At 42.2% G+C, this 25591-nt stretch overlaps 2 protein-coding genes and 1 long non-coding RNA gene across 3 annotated transcripts in view; 1 reads left to right on the forward strand and 2 right to left on the reverse strand.

Annotated features, from left to right (window-relative positions):
• MCC (MCC regulator of Wnt signaling pathway) overlaps positions 1-25591 on the reverse strand; it is a 466348-nt gene that overhangs the window by 400126 nt on the left and 40631 nt on the right. The gene's annotated exons all lie outside the window — the stretch shown is intronic.
• LOC107986366 (uncharacterized) overlaps positions 1-25591 on the forward strand; it is a 59223-nt gene that overhangs the window by 22291 nt on the left and 11341 nt on the right. The window contains exons 2-3 of the long non-coding RNA XR_001742459.2: positions 6429-6548; positions 25278-25358. This is a non-coding gene — a long non-coding RNA (uncharacterized LOC107986366). The remainder of the gene's footprint in view (positions 1-6428; positions 6549-25277; positions 25359-25591) is intronic.
• On the reverse strand, positions 10322-12758 carry TSSK1B (testis specific serine kinase 1B). The gene has a single exon (NM_032028.4). The coding sequence runs from the start codon at positions 12606-12608 to the stop codon at positions 11505-11507; it is 1104 nt and encodes a 367-aa protein (NP_114417.1). The 5' UTR covers positions 12609-12758; the 3' UTR covers positions 10322-11504.

Raw genomic sequence — 25591 nt, forward strand, 5'->3', positions numbered from 1 at the left:
AGGAGACTGATTAGAGATGTGCTGTACCACACCATGATACAGTATTCCACCATACAGATACAAGAGATATAAACAGCCCCAAGAGCATGGATAACTGTAAATATAGTAAAATAAATAGTAAGTGATGAGTTTGAGCATTTATTATATTTGTTGTTCATGTAATTTATTTGTTTACAAGCTTCTATGATTTAATTTTAAGTTATTTTTGTCTTTTTAATTGACTTTATGATTTAGTTTTTAACAATGGTTATGTTTAATAATGGCTCACAAAATTCCTGAAAATTTAGCAATTTGCTTTTGCAAGCAAGTACGAGCCAGCTCCAGTGCATCATTGATTATAGGATATAGGAAAGACCTACACATAACCTTCAGGATGTTGTGGCATTATCAGGTATGGCCCAGCTTGTTGCAGCAGGCCTGGGTGACTTGAAGAGCCGTGGAATCTGGACCTGGATGAGCCCAGTGGAGATGCAAAAGGATGTAAGAGGCAGAGTGAGCTGGAGGAGCTAGAAGAAATCTGACATGGCATCGGAGATAAATAGGAATTAGTGGATCCTCTAAAAAATGACTGGGATGACAGAGACTTCTAGTTATACTTGGTAGATTTAATATACTTAGTTACTTTCCTTGTTCCCTTTCAATGCCTCCTGAAACCATCCTAAAAGGATAAAAGAATAAAAAAGCACAAAACTACAGGAGATCCCCATGACTCATGGATTCTGTGTTTGCAAACTTGCCTACTCAGTAAAACTTATTTGTAGCCCCAAATCAATACTCATCGTGTTTTCCACAATTATTTGTGAATGTGGTCAGAGTGGTGAAAAATTTGAGTCGTCCAACACACAAGTTCCCAGCAGAGGCTGAACAAAGCAACACTCTGCCTTTGTTCTGGATCTCATACTGTAAACATCATCCTTTTCATGGTCTATTTAGTGTCACGTTTTTCATACCTTCGTGCTTTTTGTTGATAACTTTGCTGTCTAAAGTGGCCCCCAAGCACAGTGCTGAAGGGCTGTCTGGTTTCCTAAGTGCCTTGCAAAGAATATACATGTTAGATAAGCTTTGTTCAGGCATGAGTGACAGTGCTGTTGGCCATGAGCTCAATGTTAATGAATCAACAATCTATATTAAACAGGGTGTCTTTAAAAAGAACCTATACATAACACAAAGCTATGTGTTGATCCTGGGCTCACAAGAATCTAACCCTGTGTTTCCCCTAGAAGCAACAATTCAATATTTACGAATTCAGTGTTTGCTGCAACTTTCTAGAACATAATTACTGTGAATAATGAGAATTAACTGGTATAATAACGAGGAGAACAGAAGTGATGATTAGAACAACTAAATTTCAAAAGTTACAAGGCATATAGATGAGTGGAATCAGCTCACCAGAGAAAGCCAGACTGAAGCAAGTATTGGCCAGGCTCAGAAATAGGAGAGCCAGTGAATGCAGGTGACGTTCATAACAGGAGAATGAGTTGAAGGTGTGTGTAAGAAGCCATTAGATCTCTATTTCCCACCCCCAACCCGGCACAGTCAAGTTTTCTCAACCCGGGCAGAAAACTAATTTATTTTCTATAGTGGCTGATCCCCACTTGCTTCTGGACTCAGGGTTACCACTCGTAGGATAAGGTTATCATCCTGAAATTGGGGAATTCAGGCGAAGTCCTCACGGAGAATGGTAAAACTGTTTTTCCCTTTTCCTCCACTCAGCTCTGACAACCCTGGCTACTAGCTTTATACCAACCAGATGGCAGACTGAAGGACATCCCTCTGGGGATACTGCCTGGGCCAAAAGAAAATATCTGTGTGTATTAGGAAGGGGAGGGAAGAATCTCTCAGTGAAACAGCCCTCTTAGATCATCCTACGGTTAATCCCACTGGTCAAAAAGTCATCCTCTACACACACACACACACACACACACACACACACACACACACACACACACACACATTCTAATCAGCTTTGTTATGCCTCGCCCTTAAATATCAGGAACAACTGAAGACTAATAGGTATTTGAAGAGGGCATCTAATATAAAAGAGACAAAAAAAATTAAAAATATAAAAAAGAACTCATAGGAAACAGAAATAATGCTGGAAGATTAGATAACTTCCAAAAACCTATCATGGACATCAGTATATAGTTAAACAATGACATAATTTTCACAGAACAATAATAAGTTTTAAAAAAGAACACTCAGTCCAGGTGTGATGGCTCACACCTGTAATCCCAGCACTTTGGGAGGCCAAGGCGGGTGGATCACTTGAGGTTAGGAGTTTGAGACCAGCCTCACCATCATGGTGAAACACCATCTCTACTAAAAATACAAAAATTAGCTGGGTGTGGTGGCAGGTGTCTGTAATGCCAGCTACTTGGAGGCTAGGCAGGAGAATTCCTTGAACCTGGGAGGCAAAGGTGACAGTGAGCTGAGATTGTGCCATTGTACTCCAGCCTGGGTAATAGAGTGAGACTCCATCTCAAAAAAATTTTTTTTAAATTAAAAAATTAGAAAGCACACCCAGAGAATAACATTAACAAAAAACTCTTAAAAATTAAAAGCAGAAACTGAAATTTTAATATACAAATTGAAAAGTAAAATTGAGAAAATCTCCCAGAAAATAGAACAGCAATGCTAGGAGTGAAAAAAAAAGAACTAGAAAATATGAAAGAAAGGGTCAAAAAATAAGCTCACTTTGCAATATCTGACATCCAAATTACATTGGATGAATTACAGAAAGAATGACAAAGAAGACCGAGGGGAGGAAACTATCACACATATAATTAAGAAATTTCCTAGAACTTAAGAATATCAGTTTCCATGAGATAGGGTCCACAAAGGACCACAGAAACAATTTTTTTTAAAGACATGAAATATCAGAACATTGGGCAAAGAGAGAATCCCAAAAGCTTTCAGAAGAGAAAAAGAGAAACAACAACAGGTCTTATAAAAGGATTGGGAATCACAGCACCTACTTTTCATAGCAATACTGAGTGCTAGGATAAACAATCACTTCAAAATTCCAAGAGAAAACAATTTCTAATCTCAAATTCTATGCCCAGTAAAACAATCAATCAAATGAAAGGGCAGAATCAAGACATTTCTCAAAACATTAGCTGTCACATATGCTTCTCAGGAAGCTACTGGGAGAGGGACACCACCAAAAGGAGGATGTTCACAAGAAAGAGAAACACAGTATATTGGGCTTGGGTGCATATAACCAATTACCAAGTAAAAGTGGCATAAACAAGAAACAATTCTATTTCTCTCCTATGTGACAAGAAGTGAGACTATTGATCTAATCAAACATTATGATTAGGAGAATAGGTAAAGGGGAAGTGGGTGCATATTTGGAGGGAGGCCTTAAATCCACATATTCCTTGGTGTAAAATCAATACACAATATCTACAATTGAAGAAAACTTGAAGAAACAGTAATATAAGCAAATTATTATAAATTATAGAAGCAAACGTGAGAAGAATCAGCTAAAAGCGTCATCAGTGTTACAAAGAATTGGCCTAGGGTAGGTGGACAGACGAGTGTTGTTTTTCATTAGGGATTTTGAATATCTAGTATCTATCTGACTTCTTAAGCCATGTATAACCTCGTTCACCATGCTGGGGGTGGTGGAAGTGGATGGAGGGAAGATGGGTGGGGAGAGGCCAAGGATCTATGTCATGGGAGTTGGCAATACTCTGAAGCCATGGCAATAAGACATCATCAAGTGAGTCTGGCAGCCGAGGGCGGAACCCAGGCAGAAGCTCAAAGAGAATTTCCCTTCCTGGAGGGAGCAGACAAGAACCAGGCAGGCCAGGTCCTCAAGGGACTGAGGGCTGGTAGGTTTCCAAGGCAGGCAGCCAGGCCCAGGAAATAAGGCAAAGTGGGGACATGGGTTTCAGAACTGAGACACCAGGCCAGAACCTGTCTGGATGCCAATGCAAGCAGATGCTGGGCCCCAGGGTGCTTGGAACTCACTCCTTATCTCCCTCTGGCCTGAGATAAGGATCACGCTCAGGTTGAGGCTGGCAGATGAGGGCCACAAGGGAAGCAAAACTAGAAACATGGGAGGCTTGACAAACAGTAAGTCAACACTGGATCTGAGAGCTATAGGTCGTTGTCATCCTTCAAAATGTCTGTTAGTCCAAGACTGGGTGCCATAAACAGCCCCTCAAAATCTATCCCCAGGACTAGTTAGTTATGCTGTATCCACACAATGTAATAGTATGCAGCCAACGAAACAAACCCTGAAGGTTCTGGGAAAGTTTTTCTTTTTTGAATTAGGTGTCATCATTTCCTACTTTCTCTTTCTATGTTCTTCATGCCCGAAACATGGTACCTGGCAATGCAGCAACACCTGCGTGGGTAGAATCATCTTGTGACCCTGGGGCAATATGCATGTGAACATGCCTATATTCTAAGAATGGCAAAATGTGAAGATGAACAAAGAAAAGGAAAAGGTTCACTGAAGACATCATTAAGCCACCCACCCCAGAATTCGTGATGTCTCAAATAAAATAACTAAACACATGCCTAACCAATGGGCCTTCCTAATGTGATGGGGATGGATTTAATTGGAAACTAAAACTTCTAGTCTTTCTAATATTTCAGAAACTTAAAATTCACTCCTCTATAATGCGATGGGAGTGCAAAATGAGTTCAAAACTCTCCCTCAGTACTCCTGTTTGGAGTAACTACCTCTCCACAAACAAAATCCACAAAACTCATCCTCAAAATAGCCTTTGAGGACTCTGGAGAACTCAAGGTATATGAATTTAATCATGTCTTGTCTTATCACATCCTAATTGATATATTTTTTCTATCCCTATGTTGCAGGTGGGGACTCTGAGGGACACATCTTCTTCAGGTCTAGCCAATTTGTTAGGATAATAAATTACAAAACACATTTATCATCCTCAAAAGTTTGCTCAAAATAATTTTGAATGTATCATATAAAGGATATTTATACCAGCTTAAAAGCCCTTAGCCCATTTAAATGAATTGCTTACTTTGAAAAAGCTATAATAAGAAGTTGGTCATTTCCCTAATATGCAATTAAAGCAATTAAAAACATTTCCCAAATGCTTATGTGGACTGCTGCTGATACAAACTGCTGTTGTTTGGGAGTTGACTGGAAAGGTCCCACTGATTTCTGTACATGGAAGAAACATACTGTTGACTTGTAAGAAAATCAAGTTATTCAACTTAATGGATCAGTACAGGAAACAAAACTCTGTTTGCCAAGCAGAATATTTCACTGTGTTTATGTTTCTCCTGATCTAAATGTGCTAGCTTTGAATACTGCTTTTAAACTAACATGCACAAGTGGCATTTGATATGGTCTACTTTATTCATTAAAACAAAGTGAAGATTATTATGGAGTCACTTTGAAAGGTAGTTTGGGCTTTCTTATTTAATTAATCCATTACACTTAACCTTCCCGTATTTTACTCCCTGCAAGTCTTGCAACCATTATTAACACTACACAAATATGTTTTGCATTATTAAATTTAAGAATTTAGTACTCAGTAAAATTCTCTGCAGGAATATTGTTATTAAATGAGTTCATTAAACCTAACCACACTAATTAACAGCCAAGTGATGAGGAACATTCATACAAAAGTGAACTATATTCCATCTTCATAACCTCTCTGCTAATTCTAGCAAATGAACATAAGCAATCTCAGGAAAAAAAATCCAGGAAGGTTATAGAAACCACACATACCTCAGTGGAAACCAGCTCCTCCAAAATAAATGTCCAGGCTTGTCTGAAACTTGCTCCTCATCACATCATCTATCAGTAATTTTCAATTAAGTGTACAATGGGGTCTAGCTCCACCCTCCCTTATGCCTGTAATGACATGACTGGAAACGTAGGGCATTTTAATTCTACAACTATTAACCAGTCCCAGCTGGCCACAGCTCAGCATTTTCAGGGGCTCCTACATATAAAATCTTCAACCTCTAGTACAAGGATGATCTCTTAACCACAAGAAAAACAAATGAATCCCAAGTAGAAGAACGTCAATAGATTTTAATGTATAACTAATATCTACAGACCCCTGCCCTCACCCTTATTCCCTGTAGTGGATGCTGGGATGCAGCACCACACCCCTCTTTACCGACTGAAGCATGTGTTCTCTCAGCTGCCAGCAGGGTTGGCTGCAGAAGGCTTATGACTGAGTCCCTTCCTGGGAACTGCTTTCTGTGGAAGGCAGACACTTATGCCCCTTCCCCAGAGACACCCCATATCCAATGACTATATGATATGAGGCTACAAAGGCCTAGCCCTCTTGCCTCAACTCTTGGCTATGCTGAAGGACAATCTTATTTCCAGAACTTCCTGTAAGATCAGCTGAGACATCTCCTGTAAGTCTGTCACAGTTCAACTTCTCCATGTGCCTAATCCTGCTTCCTTCACTCCCTCACAGGTGTTGATCCCAAGTGTAATCCTAGGGAACCCGACTTAAGGCCTCCCCATCTGAAGAACACAATCTCAAGGAAGAATTTAAGGGGAAACCTGTCTACACAGTTTGACTTTCTGTAAAGAAGTAAGTTAATTCCAACTAAACACAGTTGGACTTTTTAGTTTAAGGGTTCAATTCCTCACAGTCCAAAAGACATTAAATAAAATTTAGCCATCTTAATAGAACTGTCTTTGAAGCCCCTAGGTTCACTTATTTTAAAAGAACAAGATTTACTTATCCAGCCGAATTGTTTCCCAGTCTAGCTAATAACCTAGACCTATTAAGGTAATAATGTTGGGTCAGAATTTATATCTGTAATCACACTATATCTAAGTATCCCATTATCCATTAGCTCTCCTTCACCGAAGAAATAGGACAAAAACTTTACATATACTCTTTTTGAGGGGGAGTGTTGTATAGTGAATTGTGTTCCCCTTCCCAAATTCATATGCTGAAGCTCTAACCTCCAATGTGACTCTATCTGAAGACAGGGTCTTTAGGAGGTAATTAATGTGAAATGTGGGTCGTAAAGGTGGGGTCCTAATCCAATTGGACTGTAGCCTTATATGAAGAGACAGAAAGAGAGAGAGAGAGAGAGATCTTTCTCTCTGTGCCATGTGAGGGCACAGGGAGAAGGTGGGTGTCTGCAAGCCAGGAAAAGAGCACATTAGCCAGCATCAACTAGCATCTTAATCTTGGATCTCCTAGCCTCCAGAACCACGAAAAAATTAATTTCTATTATTTAAACCACCTAGTCTATGGTACTTTGTTGTGGCGGCCAGGGCTGACTAAGATAGGGGGTGAAGGGACATGTAATGCAAGTAAACTAAAGCACTTATTCCTCACAGATGCCTCGCTTGTTTTCCTCTTTAGCTCTGCATCACTCCTTTTTCTCAACCTCTTTTCTCCAGGTCCTTTTTCCCCCTCATTCAGTGTTAGTGCCTTTGACTCAAGAGTGGTACACATATTTTCAGGCCCTGGCTAGATCAGTTGGTGGTGTTCTGTTCAGGGTTTCAGAGGCTGCTGGGTCATGGCCTAAAGTCTATCCAGAGAAATTCTGAGGGCACTTCATATAGTGAGGAGAATTTGGAAATAAGGTGGCTGAGAGCTAAATAAGCAAACATATAAATACATGAATGAACAAAGAAACCAACACAGTCAATGACATTAGCAACATATAGAAGTAAAACGTCCTGTGAGATAATCCTGTGGGTGGGAAAACACTGAAACCTAATCAAGGTCACGTCTTTGTACATTCAGGCCTGAAATGCAATCACAACAGTCACTGTGATCTAAGCAACTGCCAGGAGAGCTCATGAGTTCACAGATGGAAGAAACCATGGGGATTAGCCATAGATTTCCCTTCTATGGATCCAAGCAACCTTCTCATTAGAACTTGGTTGCCTGTTTCTCTTCCCCACTCAGGAGTGACAAAGTATGTGTGACTCTGTTAATACATGTGTTCCATTGCACTTGGTAGTCATTTTTTCAACACTAACTTGGAAAAATGGTAGCCTGGGAGGTACACCAATCTTTCATAAGTTTTGTTAACATGAATTAGCTCCACTGAGCTAGGTCATGGCTGACAGAATGCTAAAATCTAATTTTGGACCATGAAGTTCCTAGTAGGGCAGAGCACTAGGTAAAGTTCTTCCTATGTAGATAGTTGGCCTCCCTTAGTTATTTTAGGTAAGCTGGAGCTGTATTAAAGGGGAGCCTTGAATGCTAGACTTAAGATGGGCCTCTATTCTCTCTGCAACAAAGGTCCAGCCCTCTGAGGGTAGAAACATAAGTAAAATTTTATGTTGAGAAGATGACATTGGCAGTGTATGAAAGACAGGCTGGAAGCTAGACAGAGTAAACAGGAAGGACAATTCCTCAGGACAGTTGCTCAGGGTGAGGATTTGAAATGTTCTAGTGGGAATCAGAAAGCATGTATATGAGAGGTAAGGCAAAGAAAGAATCAAGAGGTCTTGCCAACTTTGTTTGTAGGAGGGCATGGAAAAGTAAGTTCTGGGGTCTGGTTGAATGTGAAAAATAGAGATGACAGAAGCTGGTACAGAGGTCAGAGTGTGCTAGTTGGAGGGTGGTCAGCGTGAAGAGACTGCAGATGGAACTGATCATGAGGGCCCGTACTCTGAAGAGAAGCTGGGTTACAGGAATAAGCTTCAGAGTTAATAGTGCAGGGTAAACTTATGGAAATGAGTATGAACACTGAGAGGGGCACATGGAGAATGGAAAGGAGAGGGACCAAGCCTTGTTGAAAGCTAAAATGTGTACGGTAGGAAGAGCAATGGTCTAAAAAGAAAAGGAGCCAGTGGCAACAGAGAAGTATGAGGGAAATTGAGAGCCCTCTTAAGAGGTAGCTATGGTGTCAGAAGAGTAGGAAGTGAGATTATCTGCTGAGGGAGAAAGGAAGGGGAGGAGCTTGAGGTAGTGAAAGGATTGGAGGAGTTTTCCAGTGGATTATGGGAGAGAGTTGAGAAGAGATGAAGAAATGGCTAACTGAACAGTGCTAAGGGCCTAACCAGATTAGTTGCATATGGTAGGTGTATTAGTTTGCTAGGGCTGCTATGACAAAGTACCACAAACTGAGGGGCTTAGACAAAAGAAAAGTAGTGATTTACACTTCTGGATGCCAGAAGTCTAAGATAGAGGAGTTGGCAGGGCCTTTCTCTCTCTGAGGGCACTAGGAAAGGATCTGTTCCAGGCCTCTCTCCTGGGCACCAGTCATATTTGATTAGCATCTCACCCTACTCCAGTATGATCTTAACTAATTACATCTGCAATGACTCTATTTCCAAGCAAGGTCACATCTTGAGGTACAAGGGGCTAGGACATCTACATATAAATGGGGTGGGTGAAGGGCTTCCTGGGGCATTAGAAAGCTAGAGGCAGAGATGCTGTTCAGGGACACCTGAGTACCGACTCTGGTTTCTTCCTGCTCCTGCAACAGGCCATGAGGCTATCGCCTTAGAGGGGTATACCTTGAGGCTGTAGTTTAAAAGCTAACAGTGTGGCCAGGCGCGGTGGCTCACGCCTGTAATCCCAGCAGTTTGGGAGGCCAAGGGGGGGGGGGGGTGGATCACGAGGTCAAGAGTTCAAGACCAGCCTGGCCAACATGATGAAACCCCGTTTCTACTAAAAATACAAAAATTAGGGCGGGGTACAGTGGCTCACACCTGTAATCCCAGCACTTTGGGAGGCCGAGGTAGGCAGATCACGAGGTCAAGAGATCAAGATCATCCTAGTCAACTTGGTGAAACAACGTCTCTACTAAAAATACAAAAATTAGCTGGGCATGGTGGCACACGCCTGTAGTCCCAGCTACTTGGGAGGCTGAGGCAGGAGAATTGGTTGAACCCGGGAGGCGGAGGTTTTGGTGAGCCAAGATCGTGCCACTGCACTCCAGCCTGGAGATAGAGCGAGACTCCGTCTCAAAAAACAAATAAACAAACAAACAAAAACAAAAATTAGTTGGGCATGGTGGCACGTGCCTGTAATCCCAGCTACTCAGGAGGCTAAGGCAGGAGAATTGCTTAACCCAGAACCGGGAGGCAGAGGTTGCAGTGAGCCGAGATCACACCACTGCACTCCAGCCTGGGCTAGAGCGAGACTCTGTCTCAAAAAAAAAAAAAAAAAAAAAAAGAAAAGAAAAAAAAACAGCTAACAGTGTTGGCTCGGAGCTGGAGTGTACCTGGGCTTTAACCTTGGCTCTGCCACGTATTTATCATGTGCTCAGAGACAAGTGACCTAAACTGACTTTACTCAATTTCGTGTCTATAAAATGGGAATAATAATAGGACCCCTCCCATAGGGTTATGAGAACTAAACACATTAATGAATAGCATGCCTAATGAAGTTGTATTATTCTCATTTTATAGATAAAGAAACTGAGACATATAGATTAACCAACTTGCCCAAGATCATTTAGTAGCAGAGTCAAATTCGGTCTATAGAAATCAAAAGTTCATGCTTTTCACTATTGTTACATTGTTTCCAGTATTAGCTGATTCGTTTGTCCATTAATTGGATATTAGCATTTAAATAAAAAGTTGATAAGGAAAAAATAAAAATAAAACATTTTCCTTTGTAAAATTTTCTTCTGGGGGTGCTGGGGAGTAAATTAGCTACAAAATCAATTACAAGGAGAATGATTAAATATAAAGAGTTAAAAACAGGAATATAATTTCCAAGTGCTCTTTTCCAAATATTATCGCTGCAAGGTTTGAACAGGAGAAAGCCAGTAGAGATAAGAAAAATCAAAACTGAATAAACTTGATGTTAAATCAGCTTCTATTTCTTCTTGTCTTTCCTCCCATTTTCTCCAGTTGCCATGCTACTCCTGAGGATCTAGGATAATACTGAAAGAAGCACATATGGGGCACAAGATTTCTAGCACTTTAAAGCTTAATGCTTTAAAAGTATGTTTTGAGGCTTCTTTAAAAGTTTATGGATCTTGCCCAGAGCTGGAGTCGGAGCCCCCGAGGCTGCCGCCGAGAGTGCCCGCGAGCCCGTGGCCCAGCCGAAGCTCTTTCCCGCCGCCTCTCCGCGCCTCGTCCCCGTCCAGCCCCACCCAACCCCCAACCCAGCCTGGTCCCCTGACCCTCAGTCTGGCCCGGTCTGGCCTCCCAGCAGGGTCACGCAACTGCCCCGGGGACGATGAAAGGAGGATAAATGGTGCCCAAGGTGGACAGCGGTGCCTTCCTGCTGCTCTTCCTGCTCTTGCTGTCACTGAGCCGTTGCGGCCAGTGGGGACCCTCTGCTGAGACAGGCTCTGTGTCCAGCACCTGCTCCGGGTCACGCTCTGGGGGAGTAGGAGTCGCACGACTGTCTCAGCCTTGGATTTGACTTTGGCCTCATCCACCTAGGGGCCACGGGAGAACCATGTGGGTTACCAAGTTCAAGGGGAGAGAGAAGAAGCTGATGAAAATAGAGGCTCATCTGGGACTGCCTTCCTTCTCTGGCTCCACCCTTGACTTCTTCAGAGCTTGGGCTTTAAGCCGTGAGCTCCATCTCATTCCCTGGGCCGCAAGAAGCTCACTGGGCCCGCGTCTCTGGAGGCTGTTGGGGGGGCCCTTCCTCTGTCTCCATAGTCGACGGCTTGCTGGGGAAACCCAGGATCTCCGACTGCCTGGACATTTGCATTGCTGTCCCCTCGGGTTTTGTCTCAGGCTGTGCCTGGGGCTGTGCCTCTCCCTCAGGCTCCAGCTTGGTGGCAGACTTCTTGTCAGAGCCAGGTTCGGGGGTCCACAAGGGTTCAGTTCCCCGGGAACTCTCCCCCTCCTTGTTGATGGCCACAGAGGGAGATCCCCGTGCCTTGGGCTGCATCCAGCAGTGGCTGAGGATCTCGTCGATGTGGAGCCGCCGGTTGACGTCGGGCTGCAGCATGTGGTAGATGAGGTCCTTGCACTCGCCTGTCAGGTGCTTGGAGCGTGGGAAGTTGACGCGGTGCTCCTTCTGGATACGCAGCATCTTCTTGATGTTGGAGTCGTCGTAGGGCATGGAGCCGCAGACCATGATGTAGAGGATCACGCCTAGGCTCCAGATGTCGTACACCTTGGGCTGGTAGGGAATGCCCTGCAGCACCTCTGGGGCCGCATACGCTGGTGACCCACAGAAGGTCTTGCTTAATGCCATTCGACCACTGTCATCCCGCAGGCAGCGCTTGGAGAAGCTGAAGTCGGACAGCTTGATGTTGAAGTCCTTGTCAAGGAGAAGGTTGTCACACTTGAGGTCCCGGTGGACGACGTCCAGGTCGTGGCAGTACTTGATGGCCAAGGAAAGCTGGTGGAACTTCTTGCGAGCTTCGTCCTCATGCAGGGCTCCCCGGGTTTTGATTAACTCGAGGAGGTCGCCCTGGACCGCGAGCTCCATGACGATGTAGACCTTGCCATGTGATGTCTCAAAGATCTCGTAGGTCTTAATGATGGAGCAGTGGTTTAACATGGCCAGAATCTCAATTTCCCGGGGAAGGAATTTCTCCAAGAAGTCTGCGGGGGCCTTCTTGCGGTCGATGATCTTGATCGCCACATTGAACTTCAGGCGCTCAGAGTAAGCAGATTTTACTTTTGCATAGGAGCCCTCTCCTAAATTTATCCCCAGGAGGTAGCCTCGTCGCTTGAGGACAGCAGCGTCATCCATGGTGCCAGGAATGCCCAGTGCCTCTGAGGCTGCCCTCTACAGCCCCGAGGCGCATGGGCCAGCAGTGTGCTCATTTACATCCTGGATAGAGAGTCCTTTGGGCTGGCCAGGCCTGCTGTTCCTGCCTCCTAGAGGCCAAGACTCTGGAGTGGAACATTTGGCACTGTCTCCCAGATGACTTCAGCGAGTGAAGTCACAAAGGAGGAGTGCCCTGGGGGAATGAGACCCTGGCCTGAGGCACTTGGACTTGGAATCCTGGAAGGCTGGCCAGTAGGCTGGAGCAGACAAGATGAGCAGAAAGTGGCCTCGTGTCTTGCTGGGACCTGAGGTAGAAGGGGACTGTGTGGGACACATGGGCCTGCCCATGCTTCCAAACCCAGAGCCAGGCATACTTGTGCAGAATTGAGGCCAATTCTTGCAAACCAGGGCATCTGAGGAGGATTTAATAAAGGGACAATTAATAAAGGTGGGAGCAGAGTGTAGGGAACCCTGAGGGTCACACAATTACCCCAAGATAGTAGCAGACCCCTGGCCTGCATAGAAAAGGGTGGGAATGGTCCCTGGAACCCAGAAAGAGTAGTGTAGACAGGACCACCTTGAGAGAGGCAGTGGCCTTCAGGGGAGAAAAAGCCAGCCTCAGTGACCCTACAGGCTGGCAGGGGATGGGAGGAAGTCCCATCCCTGACTTCTTTTTCTCCCCTTCAGCCCTTGATGCTGTCCACACAGGTGACCCTCAGGAGTGCAGAGCAGGGCCAAGAAGAGTGGTGTGTCAAGAAGGTAGACAGCTTCCTGGCCCCGGAGTCACGCAGTTTGAGATGCCTGGATTCTGCCGCCTCCCTATACATCTCTTCCCTTGTCTGAGCCTTTGCTGGCTTCTTACAGCAGCTCTGTAGGAGGACAGCTGGCAGGAGTTCTGCTCTTGGCTGTGAGCTCCCTCCTGGGGACCTGCCCAGCTCACGGCCCTGGCTGGGCTCCCAGGGCATATCTGGGGCTGGGGGCTGAAGGTGGGGCCTGGATGCCACCCTGAGCACTGGCAGCTGCTCTGAGGACATTACAAGCAGCAGGGGAAGCACTGGACAGCAACCATCATTTCTTCTGGCAGTGGAGCCTCTGCTGTGACTGGTTCTGTGTCCAGCACCTGCTCTGGGCCACACCGTCAGGAAGAAGGAGTTGCATGACTGTCCTAGCCTTGGATTTGACTTTGGCCTCATCCACCTAGAGGGAGTGAGAACTCCTTCCTCACATGAGCCAGGTGGAACCCTGGGCCCTTCAGGAGTGAGTTAGTAGAGCTGGATGTCGCTCAGGCTGGGTTGGGTCACCACCAGCTGTGGCCCTTCTCCCTTTTCTCTGCTCCTTCACCTTGTTCCCCAACTCTGACTGCCCACTGCCAGTCCTTTGTGCGTGGTTGGTGCTCCTTCCTCCAGACAGCCTCCTTCTCCTTCCTGCTGGGGAAACCCCAAGTGCTGTCTCTTGGAAACCAAAAATAAAATTCTAATCTCCCCAGCCATCTGAATGGACCCCTCTTCTCAGCCAAGGCCATTCCAAAATTAATCTGAAAAACTAGTTCAGGCCATGATAGAAAGTAGGGGTCAGGCAGGCCTCATCATCCCTCCTCCCTTCAGGTTTCAGGCACAGCTGAGCAGCAGTAACATCGACACAGAGACCTGAAGACTGACAACAGACTCTGGCAGTAAGATACAGCAGGCTCTGAAAGAAACTGAAGTATTTTACTATCAAACAGATTTCTTTGACATATTTTGAAATAGCTCTGCAAAGCTGTCTCTTATGAGGAAAATCTACATTCTGTGAAGAATCCCCTTCCCTTTCTAGCTCTTTTCTCCTGAGATAATTAACTAGAGTCTGATAAGAAACATTTAACAGTGTGTTTTTTCTGAAGCCTGATACCTGGAGGCTTCATCTGCCTAAGAACCTTGGTCTCTACAACCTCTTACCCCAGAGACAGTCCCTTCTATTGATTCCAGGTCTTTAGATAAACTCTCTGAGCCAATTGCCAATCAGAAAATCTTTGAATCCACATGACCCAGAAGCCCGCCTCCCACTTTCAAGTTGTCCCTCCTTTTCTGACTGAACCAATGTATACCTTACATACACTGATTGATGTCTCGTGCCTCCCTAAAATGTATAAAACCAAGTTGCAGCCCTATCCCTTTGGGCACTTGTTGTCAGGATCTTCTGGGGCTGTCCTGGGCCATTAGTCACATATTGGCTCAGAAGAAATCTCTTCAAAAAAAAAAAAAGTTTATCTATATTGCTGTCTACAATGAAAAATATCCAATGTTATGTTTACTCTTTGTAATTAAATGCTAAAAAATTTATTTTGGTCCCAATGCTGTTTTCTTTATTGAGTTATCCTACAAAGGCAATAGGGAAAGATAAGCAGAGGCAAATGCAAGAGAGAGCAGGGAAGACAGCTTCTTGCAAATTGGGCTTTCTCATTTGTGTGTCCCCTGGCTGCCCTCAGCACAGAGCTTTACACACAGTCATAAACACTGGCTGAGTGATCATCGCAAAGAAAGGGAGAGAAAAAAAATTCATTTTCCTCCATTGCTCCTTTACCCCTGTTATGTTCTATGTCTTCCAAGGATAAAGACAATGAGGTATGAGGTATTCACTCAAAATGATAATTACCTTGGGATTATGTAGAAATATTGTATCTAAAATCCTAAACTGACAGGATCATTTATTTGCATTTTACAAAAATCTGGGCAACAGATGATACACATACACTCACACATAGACATACAAAACACCTGGAGATGAAGGAGAAATAGTGCTGCACTTGAATTATTTCTATTTTGGCTCAAAATTCCCTGAGATATATTTCTAAAATCTACTCGGCAGTTTCTCCCACCCCCTTTTTGTCTTTTGATTCTTTAGATGCTTTAAATTCAAAAGGCTCCTTATCTATATCCCAGATAGTTGAGTTATTTGAAAGCCCTGACCAAGGCATTTTATTATGGATTTGGTTGCTCTTGGGTAGAGTGAATAGGTAAATATATGCTGTACAGGGAATTTTGGCAGGAGTGGTAAAGGGCTCCAGCTCCCTGCTTCACATCTCAGGTCTGCTCCTTCAGTGCCATGTGGGATTCTCTTTGGATACCATCCCATAGGTTGGGAAGGCATCCTAAAATCGATGCTGAAGTTGTCAGTATCACCAGTCTATGGGACCTAGTGAAAGAGCAAGCAGAACTCTGAGAATCTGGGAAGAAAAGCAGTTTTCTAATGCAAAATGCATGAGAGGAGAGCCAATCCTTGGTCCTAGGGCTCTGACAACTCATTTTGTGACCTTAGGCAAGTGACCTGTGTTTCTTTCCCCTAACTTTCCTTATTTTTGGGTTGTGGGGGGAGTCTTTAACTAGAAATTGTTAAGGTCCTATAGAATGACACCTAACTTTTTTTATTCTATATCTAAAGACATGTTATCAAGGGTTCCATCTGCCGTACGGTGAGTTGTAGGAGCTGAGGCAATTAAGAGCATCAGACACGGGGCAGATAAATCTGGTTTTAAATCCCAGGGGCCACATCTTATTAGTACAGTGTGACTCTCGGAAAGTAACTTGATCTGTAAAATAGATGAAGTTATCTAATTTACCTAGTTATCTTACAGAGGCAATAGGAAAAGTATATAAGGAAAAAAGGTATGCAAAATAGGTATGCACTTTAAAGTGATTGTGAGGATTAGACATGGTGATTCCTGGTATATCACCTCTTATGACATCATAATGGTCTAAAGCAGAGGCATTCTACTCCATTGGGCCCAAGTTATGTACAAAATAATATTCAGTATAATATAGATCTATTATACCTTAGAATATCCCAGACGGGATCCTGTAAACTATTTTCTAGTATCTGTTAAATACTTTTCTTAACACTACTAAGCACTACAGGGAAGCTAAAAACACTACGACATGGCATCACCTTCTAAAAATTTGTTATTTAGTTGAAGAAACCACTAGAATATAGATATGAATGTCATAATATATAAAATATGAAACTTAAGTAGATTTTTTAAAGTACTGATTTTGCAGTAAATTGCCTAAGCTTATGGGAGAGAAAAAAAATCAGAGGGCTGGGGTTGCCCAGGAAGGTGTTAGAGCTTCCTTGGGCAGGATCCCCTGGCTGGGAGGTCACCCAGGATACGGTGTTGAGGCAGTGTCTTCTAAGAGCACAGTTCCTGAAACCAAAGGACACCAGGAACATAACAATGCAGGGTCAAAGTCTGAGCTAAGGAAACAAATTTTGAAAACCAGGTTGAAAATTCCAAGAGATCAGACAGAAATGTTTCCATGGTTTAATTTGGAAAAGGTATAAGGAGCCTGGGTTGCTGACCAGTTAGGCAGGCCAAAGCTGGAGTGTCGGGGAGCAAGTCTGGTGGTAAACAGCAGGCTCAGAGTGAAGTGCCAGTCAAGTCCTAGACCTGGTTGTGGAAGCATGCTGAGTACATTTCAAGTGGCTCACAAAGGACAATTGGAGGGTTTCACAGAGGTGATGAGACACACGAGGCCTTGAAGCAAAGGTAGATGTACATAGGTGATACAGGAAAGGGAAATGGCATTTGAACAAAACACAGAGAAATGAATGAATATGGCCAAGAACAAACCTTTATTAGATGACAAATGCCTTGGAAAAGATAGAGATGAATATAACATGGTCAGTACCCTCAGAAGGTCTCTCAGTGTCCTAGCCTACCTCACAACTTGAAGCACTAGGAAGCAAAATCCAATGGCCAGTCGTAAGTTTTCTGCTAGAGACTCATGTCACTGAAGATAGCTGAGGAGGCAAAATCCTAGCCTGTGGTGGTTAATCTTATGTTGTGACAGTTAATAACTCATTCAATCTCTTTGAGCCTCAGTATGTACATTTCTAAAATAGGGACTATAATAGTTTCTAGCTCATGGGATTGTTGCAAGGATCCAAAAAGATAATGATATATAATACTTAGCAAAAGGCTAGCACACAGTGGCTACTTAGCAAGTGTTGGCTTTTATTACTATTATTAATGGTCATTTTATTTTATTTTTACAGACAGAGTTTTGCTCTGTTGCCCACACTGGAGTGCAGTGGCATGACCATACCTCACTATAGCCTCAACCTCCTGGCCTCAAGACCTCACTGTAGCCTCAACCTCCTGGCCTTAAGGGATCCTCCCACCTCAGCCTCCCAAAGTATTGGGATTACAGGCTTGAGCCACTGTGCCTGATCTATTAGTGGTCATTTTATTACATCTGAGCTATCATTGCTGCTTTAGTGCATACCCTCATCTCTTCTCACCCAGTTGCTATGAAAGTGCCCTTACTGGTCTCTCTACTTCCAGTCTGGCATTTCTCCTCATTGCAGCCCAGTGCTCCTTATTAAAGATCAATCAGGATATTTTATTCCCCTGCTTGAAATTCTTGAGTAGGCTCTCATGGCCCTTAGAAAAAAGTAGACGTTCCTTCAGAATCTGAGGCTCTTTATCATCTGGATCCTGCTACTGTCTCCTGGCTCCCTCAGACACTCTACTTCAGTTACACCCTCCACCCACCCCCAGGCAGACCCACAACACCTTGATCTCATTTTGTCATGGACACACCACTCTATAGTGTATTTCATTTAATTCCAACCAAGTGTTTCCATGGCAAACGTTGCATCTTATTGGTCTTTGGATTCTCAATGCACAATGCTCTATAGGTACTCAATAGATATTTATTTAAAGAAAAGAAAAAAATAAGAAAGTAAAGAAGAAACGGAAGGAGAAAGAGAGGGAGGGAAAGGAGGAGAGAGAAGAGGGAAGGAATAAGGAGGGAAGGAAAAAACAAAGGGTGAGAAAGAAAAACAAAGCTAGAAAGAGTGATGTCTATATCCTTTAAGGGAACAGGTAAGAAACTAATTTTCAGTAGATCTGTTGGCAAACGAAGAAAGAAGAGGAGGAAGAAGGAACAGGAAAAAGAGAAGAAAAAGAAAGAAATCGGGGATTATATCAGAAGTTTAACAATGCATATAATTACTATGGCTGATAATGAAAGATCCACCTGACTTTTTATATTACCGCTGGAATCATAGTGTGACAGGGACAACCATTAATGTGTATGTGTTCATAGCATTTTCTCCTCCTTTCTACCCCCTATACTCACTGTGTATTTGCAGATTAGGTTAATAAGGCAGATAAATAAACAGAAAAGACAGACGCAGAATTAGAAAAAAACAAGTTCTGTCAAGGTGTGGTGGCTCACGCCTGTAATCCCAACACTTTCGGAGGCTGAGGCGGGCAGATCACTTAAGGTCATGAGTTTGAGACCAGACTGGCCAACATGGTGAAACCCTGTCTCTACTAAAAATACAAAAATTAGCCAGGTTTGGTGGCGGGTGCCTGTAATCCCAGCTACTCAGGAGGTTTAGGCAGGAGAATCTCTTGAACCCAGGAGGCGGAGGTTACAGTGAGCCCAGATGGTGCCACTGCACCATCTGTTGCCTGAACGACAGAATGAGACACTGTCTCAAAACAAAACAAAACAAAACAAAAAACAAGTTCTCTTTATAGTAGAGAAAAGAGAATGGTGTAAAACTGGGGTTGGAAAACATTTTCTATAAAGAGCTAGGTAATAAATATTTTAGGTTCTAAGGGCCGCATGTGGTCTCTATCACTTATTATTTTTTGTTTTGTACAGCACTTTTTTATTATACTCAAGTTCTGGGGTACATGTGCGGAACGTGCAGTTTTGTTACATAAGTATACCTGTGCCATGGTGGTTTGCTGCACCCATCAACCCGTCACCTACATTAGGTATTTCTCCTAATACTATCCCCTCCTCTAACCCCCTACCCTGGACAGGCCCCAGTGTATGATGTTCCCCTCCCTGTGTCCACATGTTCTCATTGTTCAACTCCCACTTATGAGTGAGAACATGCGGAGCTTGGTTTTCTGTTCTTGTGTTCATTTGCTGAGAATGACGGTTTCCAGCTTCATCCATGTCCCTGCAAAGCACATGAACTCATTCTTTTTTAAGGCTGTGTAGCATTCCATGGTGCCACATTTTCTTTATCCAGTCTATCATTGGTGGACATTTGGATTGGTTCCAAGTCTCTGCTATGGTGAATAGTGCTGCAATAAACATACATGTGCATGTGTCTTTATAGAATGATTTATAATCCTTTGGGTATATACCCATTAATGGAATTGCTGGGTCAAATGGTATTTCTAGTTCTAGATCCTTGAGGAATCCAGAACTAGAAATACACTGTCTTCCCCAATGGGTGAACTAATTTACACTCCCATCAGCAGTGTAAAAGCTTTTCTATTTCTCCACATCCTCTCTAGCATCTGTTGCTTCCTGACTTTTTAATGATCCCCATTCTAACTGGCATGAGATAGTAACTCATTGTGGTTTTGATCTGCATTTCTCTAGTGACCAGTGATGATGAGCATTTTTTCATATGTTTGTTGGCTGCATAAATGTCTTCTTTTGAGAAGTGTCTGTTCATACACTTTGCCTACCTTTTGATGGGGTTGTTTTTTTCTTGTAAATTTGTTTAAGTTCTTTGCAGATTCTGGATATTAGCCCTTTGTCAGATAGATAGATTGCAAAAACTTTCTCCTATTCTGTAGGTTGCCTGTTCACTCTGATGGCAGTTTCTTTTGCCCTGCAGAAGCTCTTTAGTTTAATTAGATCCCATTTGTCAATTTTGGCTTTTGTTGCCATTGCTTTTCGTGTTTTAGACATGAAGTCTTTACCCATGCCTATGTCCTGAATGGTATTGCCTAGGTTTTCTTCTAGGATTTTTATGTTTTTAGGTCTTACATTTAGGTCTTTAATCCATCTTGAGTTAATTTTTGCATAAGGTGTAAGGAAGGGATCCAGTTTCAGTTTTCTGCATATGGCTAGCCAGTTTTCCCAGCACCATTTATCAAATAGGGAATCCTTTCCCCATTGCTTGCTTGTGTCAGGTTTGTCAAAGATCAGATAGTTGTAGATGTGTGATGTTATTTCTGAGGCCTCTGTTCTGTTCCATTGGTCTATATAGCTGTTTTGGTACCAGTACCATGCTGTTTTGGTTACTGTAGCCTTGTAGTATAGTTTGAAGTCAGGTAGCGTGATGCCTCCAGCTTTGTTCTTTTGGCTTAGGATTGTTTTGGCTATGCAAGGTCTTTTTTGGTTCCAAATGAAGTTTAAAGTAGTTTTTTCCAATTCTGTGAAGAAAGTCAATGGTAGCTTGATGGGGATGGCATTGAATCTATAAATTACTTTGGGCAGTATGGCCATTTTCACGATATTGATTCTTCCTATCCATGAGCATAGAATGTTTTTCCATTTGTTTGTGTCCTCTCATTTCCTTGAGTGGTGGTTTGTAGTTCTCCTTGAAGAGGTCCTTCACATTGCTTGTAAGTTGGATTCCTAGGTATTTTATTCTCTTAGTAGCAATTGTGAATGGGAGTTCACTCATGATTTGGCTCTCTGTTTGTCTGTTACTGGTGTATAGAAATGCTCGCGATTTTTGTACACTGATTTTCTATCCCGAGACACTGCTGAAGTTCTTATCAGCTTAAGGAGATTTTGGTCTGAGATGATGGGGTTTTTTAAACATACAATCATGTCATCTGCAAACAAAGACAATTTGACTTCTTCTTTTCCTATTTGAATACCTTTTTTTCTTTCTCTTGCTTGATTGCCCTGGCCAGAATTTCCAACACTATGTGGAACAGGAGTGGTGAGAGAGGGCATCCTTGTCTTATGCCGGTTTTCAAAGGGAATGCTTCCAGTTTTTGCCCATTCAGTATAATATTGGCTGTGGGTTTGTCATAAATAGCTCTTATTATTTTGAGATACATTCCATTGATACCTAGTTTATTGAGAGCTTTTAGCATGAAGGGGTGTTGAATTTTATCGAAGGCCTTTTCTGTATCTCTTGAGATAATCATGTGGTTTTTGTCATTGGTTGTGTTTATTTGATGGATAACATTTATTGATTTGCATATGTTGAACCAGCCTTGCATCCCAGGTATTGAGATGGAGTCTTGCTTTTTCACCCAGGCTGGAGTGCAGTGGCATGATCTCAGCTCACTGCAACCTCCACCTCCTGGTTCAAGCAATTCTCAAGCTTCAGCCTCCCAAGTAGCTGGGATTACAGGGGCCCACCACCATGCTCGGCTAATTTGTGTGTGTGTGTGTGTGTGTGTGTGTGTGTTTAGTAGAGATGGGGTTTCGCCAAGTTGGCCAGGCTGTTCTCGAACTCCTGACCTCACGTGATCTATCCGCTTTGGCCTCCCAAAGTGCTGGGATTACAGGTGTGCATCACCGTGCCCGGCCTGTACAGCATTTTTAAAATATGAAAAACATTCTTACCTTCAGGATGGTACAAATACAGGTTACAGGTCAATTTTAACTGGCCGGTCATAGTTTGCCCATTCCTGGAAAGAAGGGGAAGAAGGAACCAAAGAGTCTGAGGGCCTGCAAAAAGTTTTAGTTGAGAGATGAAAGTAAGGGATAAGAAGAGACAGATACTGTAGTATCTATAGGGTGAAAGACAGAGATTGGGATTACTACATCTATAGTTGTAGGTTCTAAATGGATCCTCCTTAGATGTCCTTCAAGTTACTGGATTGAGTTTCTTTGAAGGAAAAAAAGTGTTAAATCTGCGGTCTACATGTCCTAGTCTTAGTTCCTTCTAAACTATATATATCCACATGTCTAATCTTGTTTCCTCATCTAAACTATATAGCCTTGAGAACAATTAAGGGAAGGGTAGATCGCCACCTACGTGGTATTTGGCCTTCAGATCAATGCTTAGTCTCATTACTAGGTCTCAAAGGCCATCTATTTCCTTTTCTTATTGTTGCTACTGGTTCCTGGCTCTGTTATTTATGCTAATAGAAAAGGCTTGTATTGTTCATCAATTATTACAGCTCTTTTAGTTTAGTGGTTCATTTAATATTACAGTTCTCTATATTGAAGGCCTTGCATCAGTTTCTGGGCCAATGACCTGATGACGATAACAACAACAACAATAGTAATTTAAAAGTGGGCTTTACCACTGTTCCATATCATTTATTCCCACAATAACCCTATAAAGGAAGTATTCCTCTAGATGAGAAAAGTGAGGCTCAATGCATTTAAGTAACTTATCCAAGGGCAGAGCTAGTAAAGGGCAGAACTGTATATTTAACAGACACAATGCAGTCTCTTAAAAACAAAATCCCTTAATGCTCACAAACCAGTAACCCAGATACAGCCCAGACACTTCAATTCTCTCCATCTTGGAGTATGGTCATGGTCTCATTTTCCATCCTCAGTTTCCAAGAAGGCTGAAGTACCCTTATTTATCTAAGTTCTGAATTGGGTTTAGGGCACCAGATCTAGGGATGTTTGGGAACATCATATACTTAAAATTTCAGAAGTCCTAGGGAGAGCAATCAGGCAAGAGAAATAAGTAAAAGGAATCCAGATAGGAAAAGAAGAAGTCAAACTATCTCTCTTTGCTGACAATATAATTCTATACATAAAGAATCCTAAAGACTCCACCAGAAGGCTCCCAGAACTGATAAACAATTTCAGTAAAGTTTCAGGCTACAAAATCAATGTATTAATAAAAAAATCAGTAGCATTTTTATACAGTAATAACGTTCAAGCTAAGAGTCAAATCAAGAACACAATCCCATTTATAATAGCCACACGAAAAATAAAATAGGAATACATCTAACCAAGAAGATGAAAGATCTCTACAAGGAGCACTATAAAACACTGCTGAAAGAAATCATAGGTGACACAAAGGGAAAAATATTCCATGCTCATGGATTGGAAAAATCGGTATTGTTAAAATGGCCATAAAGCCCAAAGCGATCTACAGATTCAATGCTATTCCTATCAAACACCAAACTATCAATGTTGTTTTTCACAGAATTAGAAAAAAACTATTCTAATACTCATATAGAATGAAAAAATACCCCACATAGCCAAAGCATTCCTAAGCAAAAAGAAGAAAGCTAGAGGCATCACATTACCTGACTTCAAACTATGTTATAAAGCTACAGTAACCAAAACAGCATGGTACTGGTACAAAACCAGACACAAAGACCAATAGAACAAAATACAGTACCCCAAAATAAAGCTGCACATCAACAGTCGTCTAATTTTTGACAAAGTTGACAAAAATAATCAAGAGGAAAGGACTCTATTCAATAAATGGTGCTGGGATAGCTAGCTAGCCATATGCAGAAGAATTCAACTGAACCCCTACCTTTCACCATATATAAAAATTAACTCAAGATGGATTACAGTTTTAAATGTAAAACCTCAAACTATAAGAATAGAATCTTAGAAGAAAACTTAGGCAACACCATTCTGAACAATGACCTTGGGAAATAATTTACAACTAAGTTCTCAATAGCAATTACAACAAAAAAATTGACAAGCATGACATAATTAAACTAAAGAGCTTTTGTGCAGCAAAAGAAACTCTCAACAGAGTAAAGAGACAACCTACAGAATGGAAAATAAATATCTGTAAACTATGCCTCTGATGACAGTCTAATATCCAGGATCTATAAGGAACTGAAATCAACAAGCAAAAAATATATAACCTTGTTAAAAAGTGGGCAAAAGACAGAAACAGACTTTTCTCAAAAGAAGACATATAAGTGGCTGATAAACATGAAAAAACTGCTCAACATCGCTAATCATCAGAGAGATGCAAATCAAAACCACAATGAGATACCATCTCACACCAGTCAGAATGGTTATTATCAAAAAGTCAAAAAATGACAGATGCTGGTGAGGCTGTAGAGAAAAGGGGATGCTAATGCACTGTTAGTTCAGTCACTGTGGAAAGCAGTTTGGAGACTTCCCAAAGAACTAAAAATAGACCCAGCAATCCCATTACATGCCACATGTTCTCACCTATAAGTGGAGCTAAACATAGTGTACTCACGGACATAAAGATGGCAACAATAGACACTGGGGACTACTGGCAGGGAGGGAGAGGGCAAGGGTTGAAAAACTAACTGTTGAGTACTATGTTCACTACCTGAGTAACAATATCAATCATACCCCAAACCTCAGTATCACACAATATACCCAGGTAACAAACCTGCACATGTACCCCCTGAATCTAAAATAAAAGTTAAAATTATTGAAAAAAATAAGATCATTTCTAGTAACTGGTCCAACCCTCCCCTCATCTTCCTTTCCTCATCTCTAATTGACCCTTTCTCCCTGAGGTTTTGCAGGTTATCTGCACACGTGTGGGTTTGGGAGGTAGAGCTGGATGAAAAATAGGCATAAATTTATCTCTCTGGGCACCTTTGTCTAAACTGATCTTAGGAATATCTTCAAATCATGACAAATAAATAAAATGATGATTTTTAAAGTATGTGTATTGCCAGATTAGAAACTCTTTTTCAAATGTAAGTCCTGCATGAGACAAAGAAAACACCTTTCTTTGGGTAGGAAGGGGTGGGTGGTCTCACATTTAGTTGAAGCATATGGCTGCATTTGGAGTATAAATTTTTTCAATTTTAAAATGTTTACTTTTTCCTTTATAAAAAGAACACATGCTTGTTATGTACAATTTGAAAAATATGCTGCAAATAATTTATTGAATTTTTTAAAGATATAAATTTATGGATATTGGAAGAATCTCTCCCTATACAGTGATCCCACTATGCTTTTTCTACAGCTGAAATCAGAACTGGAAGAGGTCTTAGAAATCATCTAGTCCGACCACCTCCTTTGACAGATGAGGAAGAACACATGTTCCGTATGATTACATTTTGATGTTCTCTTATAGTTGGCTCATTCCCTAAGGATTTTTTAAAAAGATTTATCTTTTTTTAAAAACTTGAGATACTATTAAATTGGCTAAAATTCAAATAAACACATCCTCCCTACATTCTCTCTCTCCATCTCTGCTCTGACTCTCAAAGATGCATATGCTGCCTCTTAGACTGTTCAACATATGGGGCCTCTGCATTGATGCCAAAAGTCCAGCAG

The sequence above is a fragment of the Homo sapiens genome, chromosome 5 (genome assembly GCF_000001405.40).
Source record: "Homo sapiens chromosome 5, GRCh38.p14 Primary Assembly".
Taxonomy (NCBI): domain Eukaryota; kingdom Metazoa; phylum Chordata; class Mammalia; order Primates; family Hominidae; genus Homo; species Homo sapiens.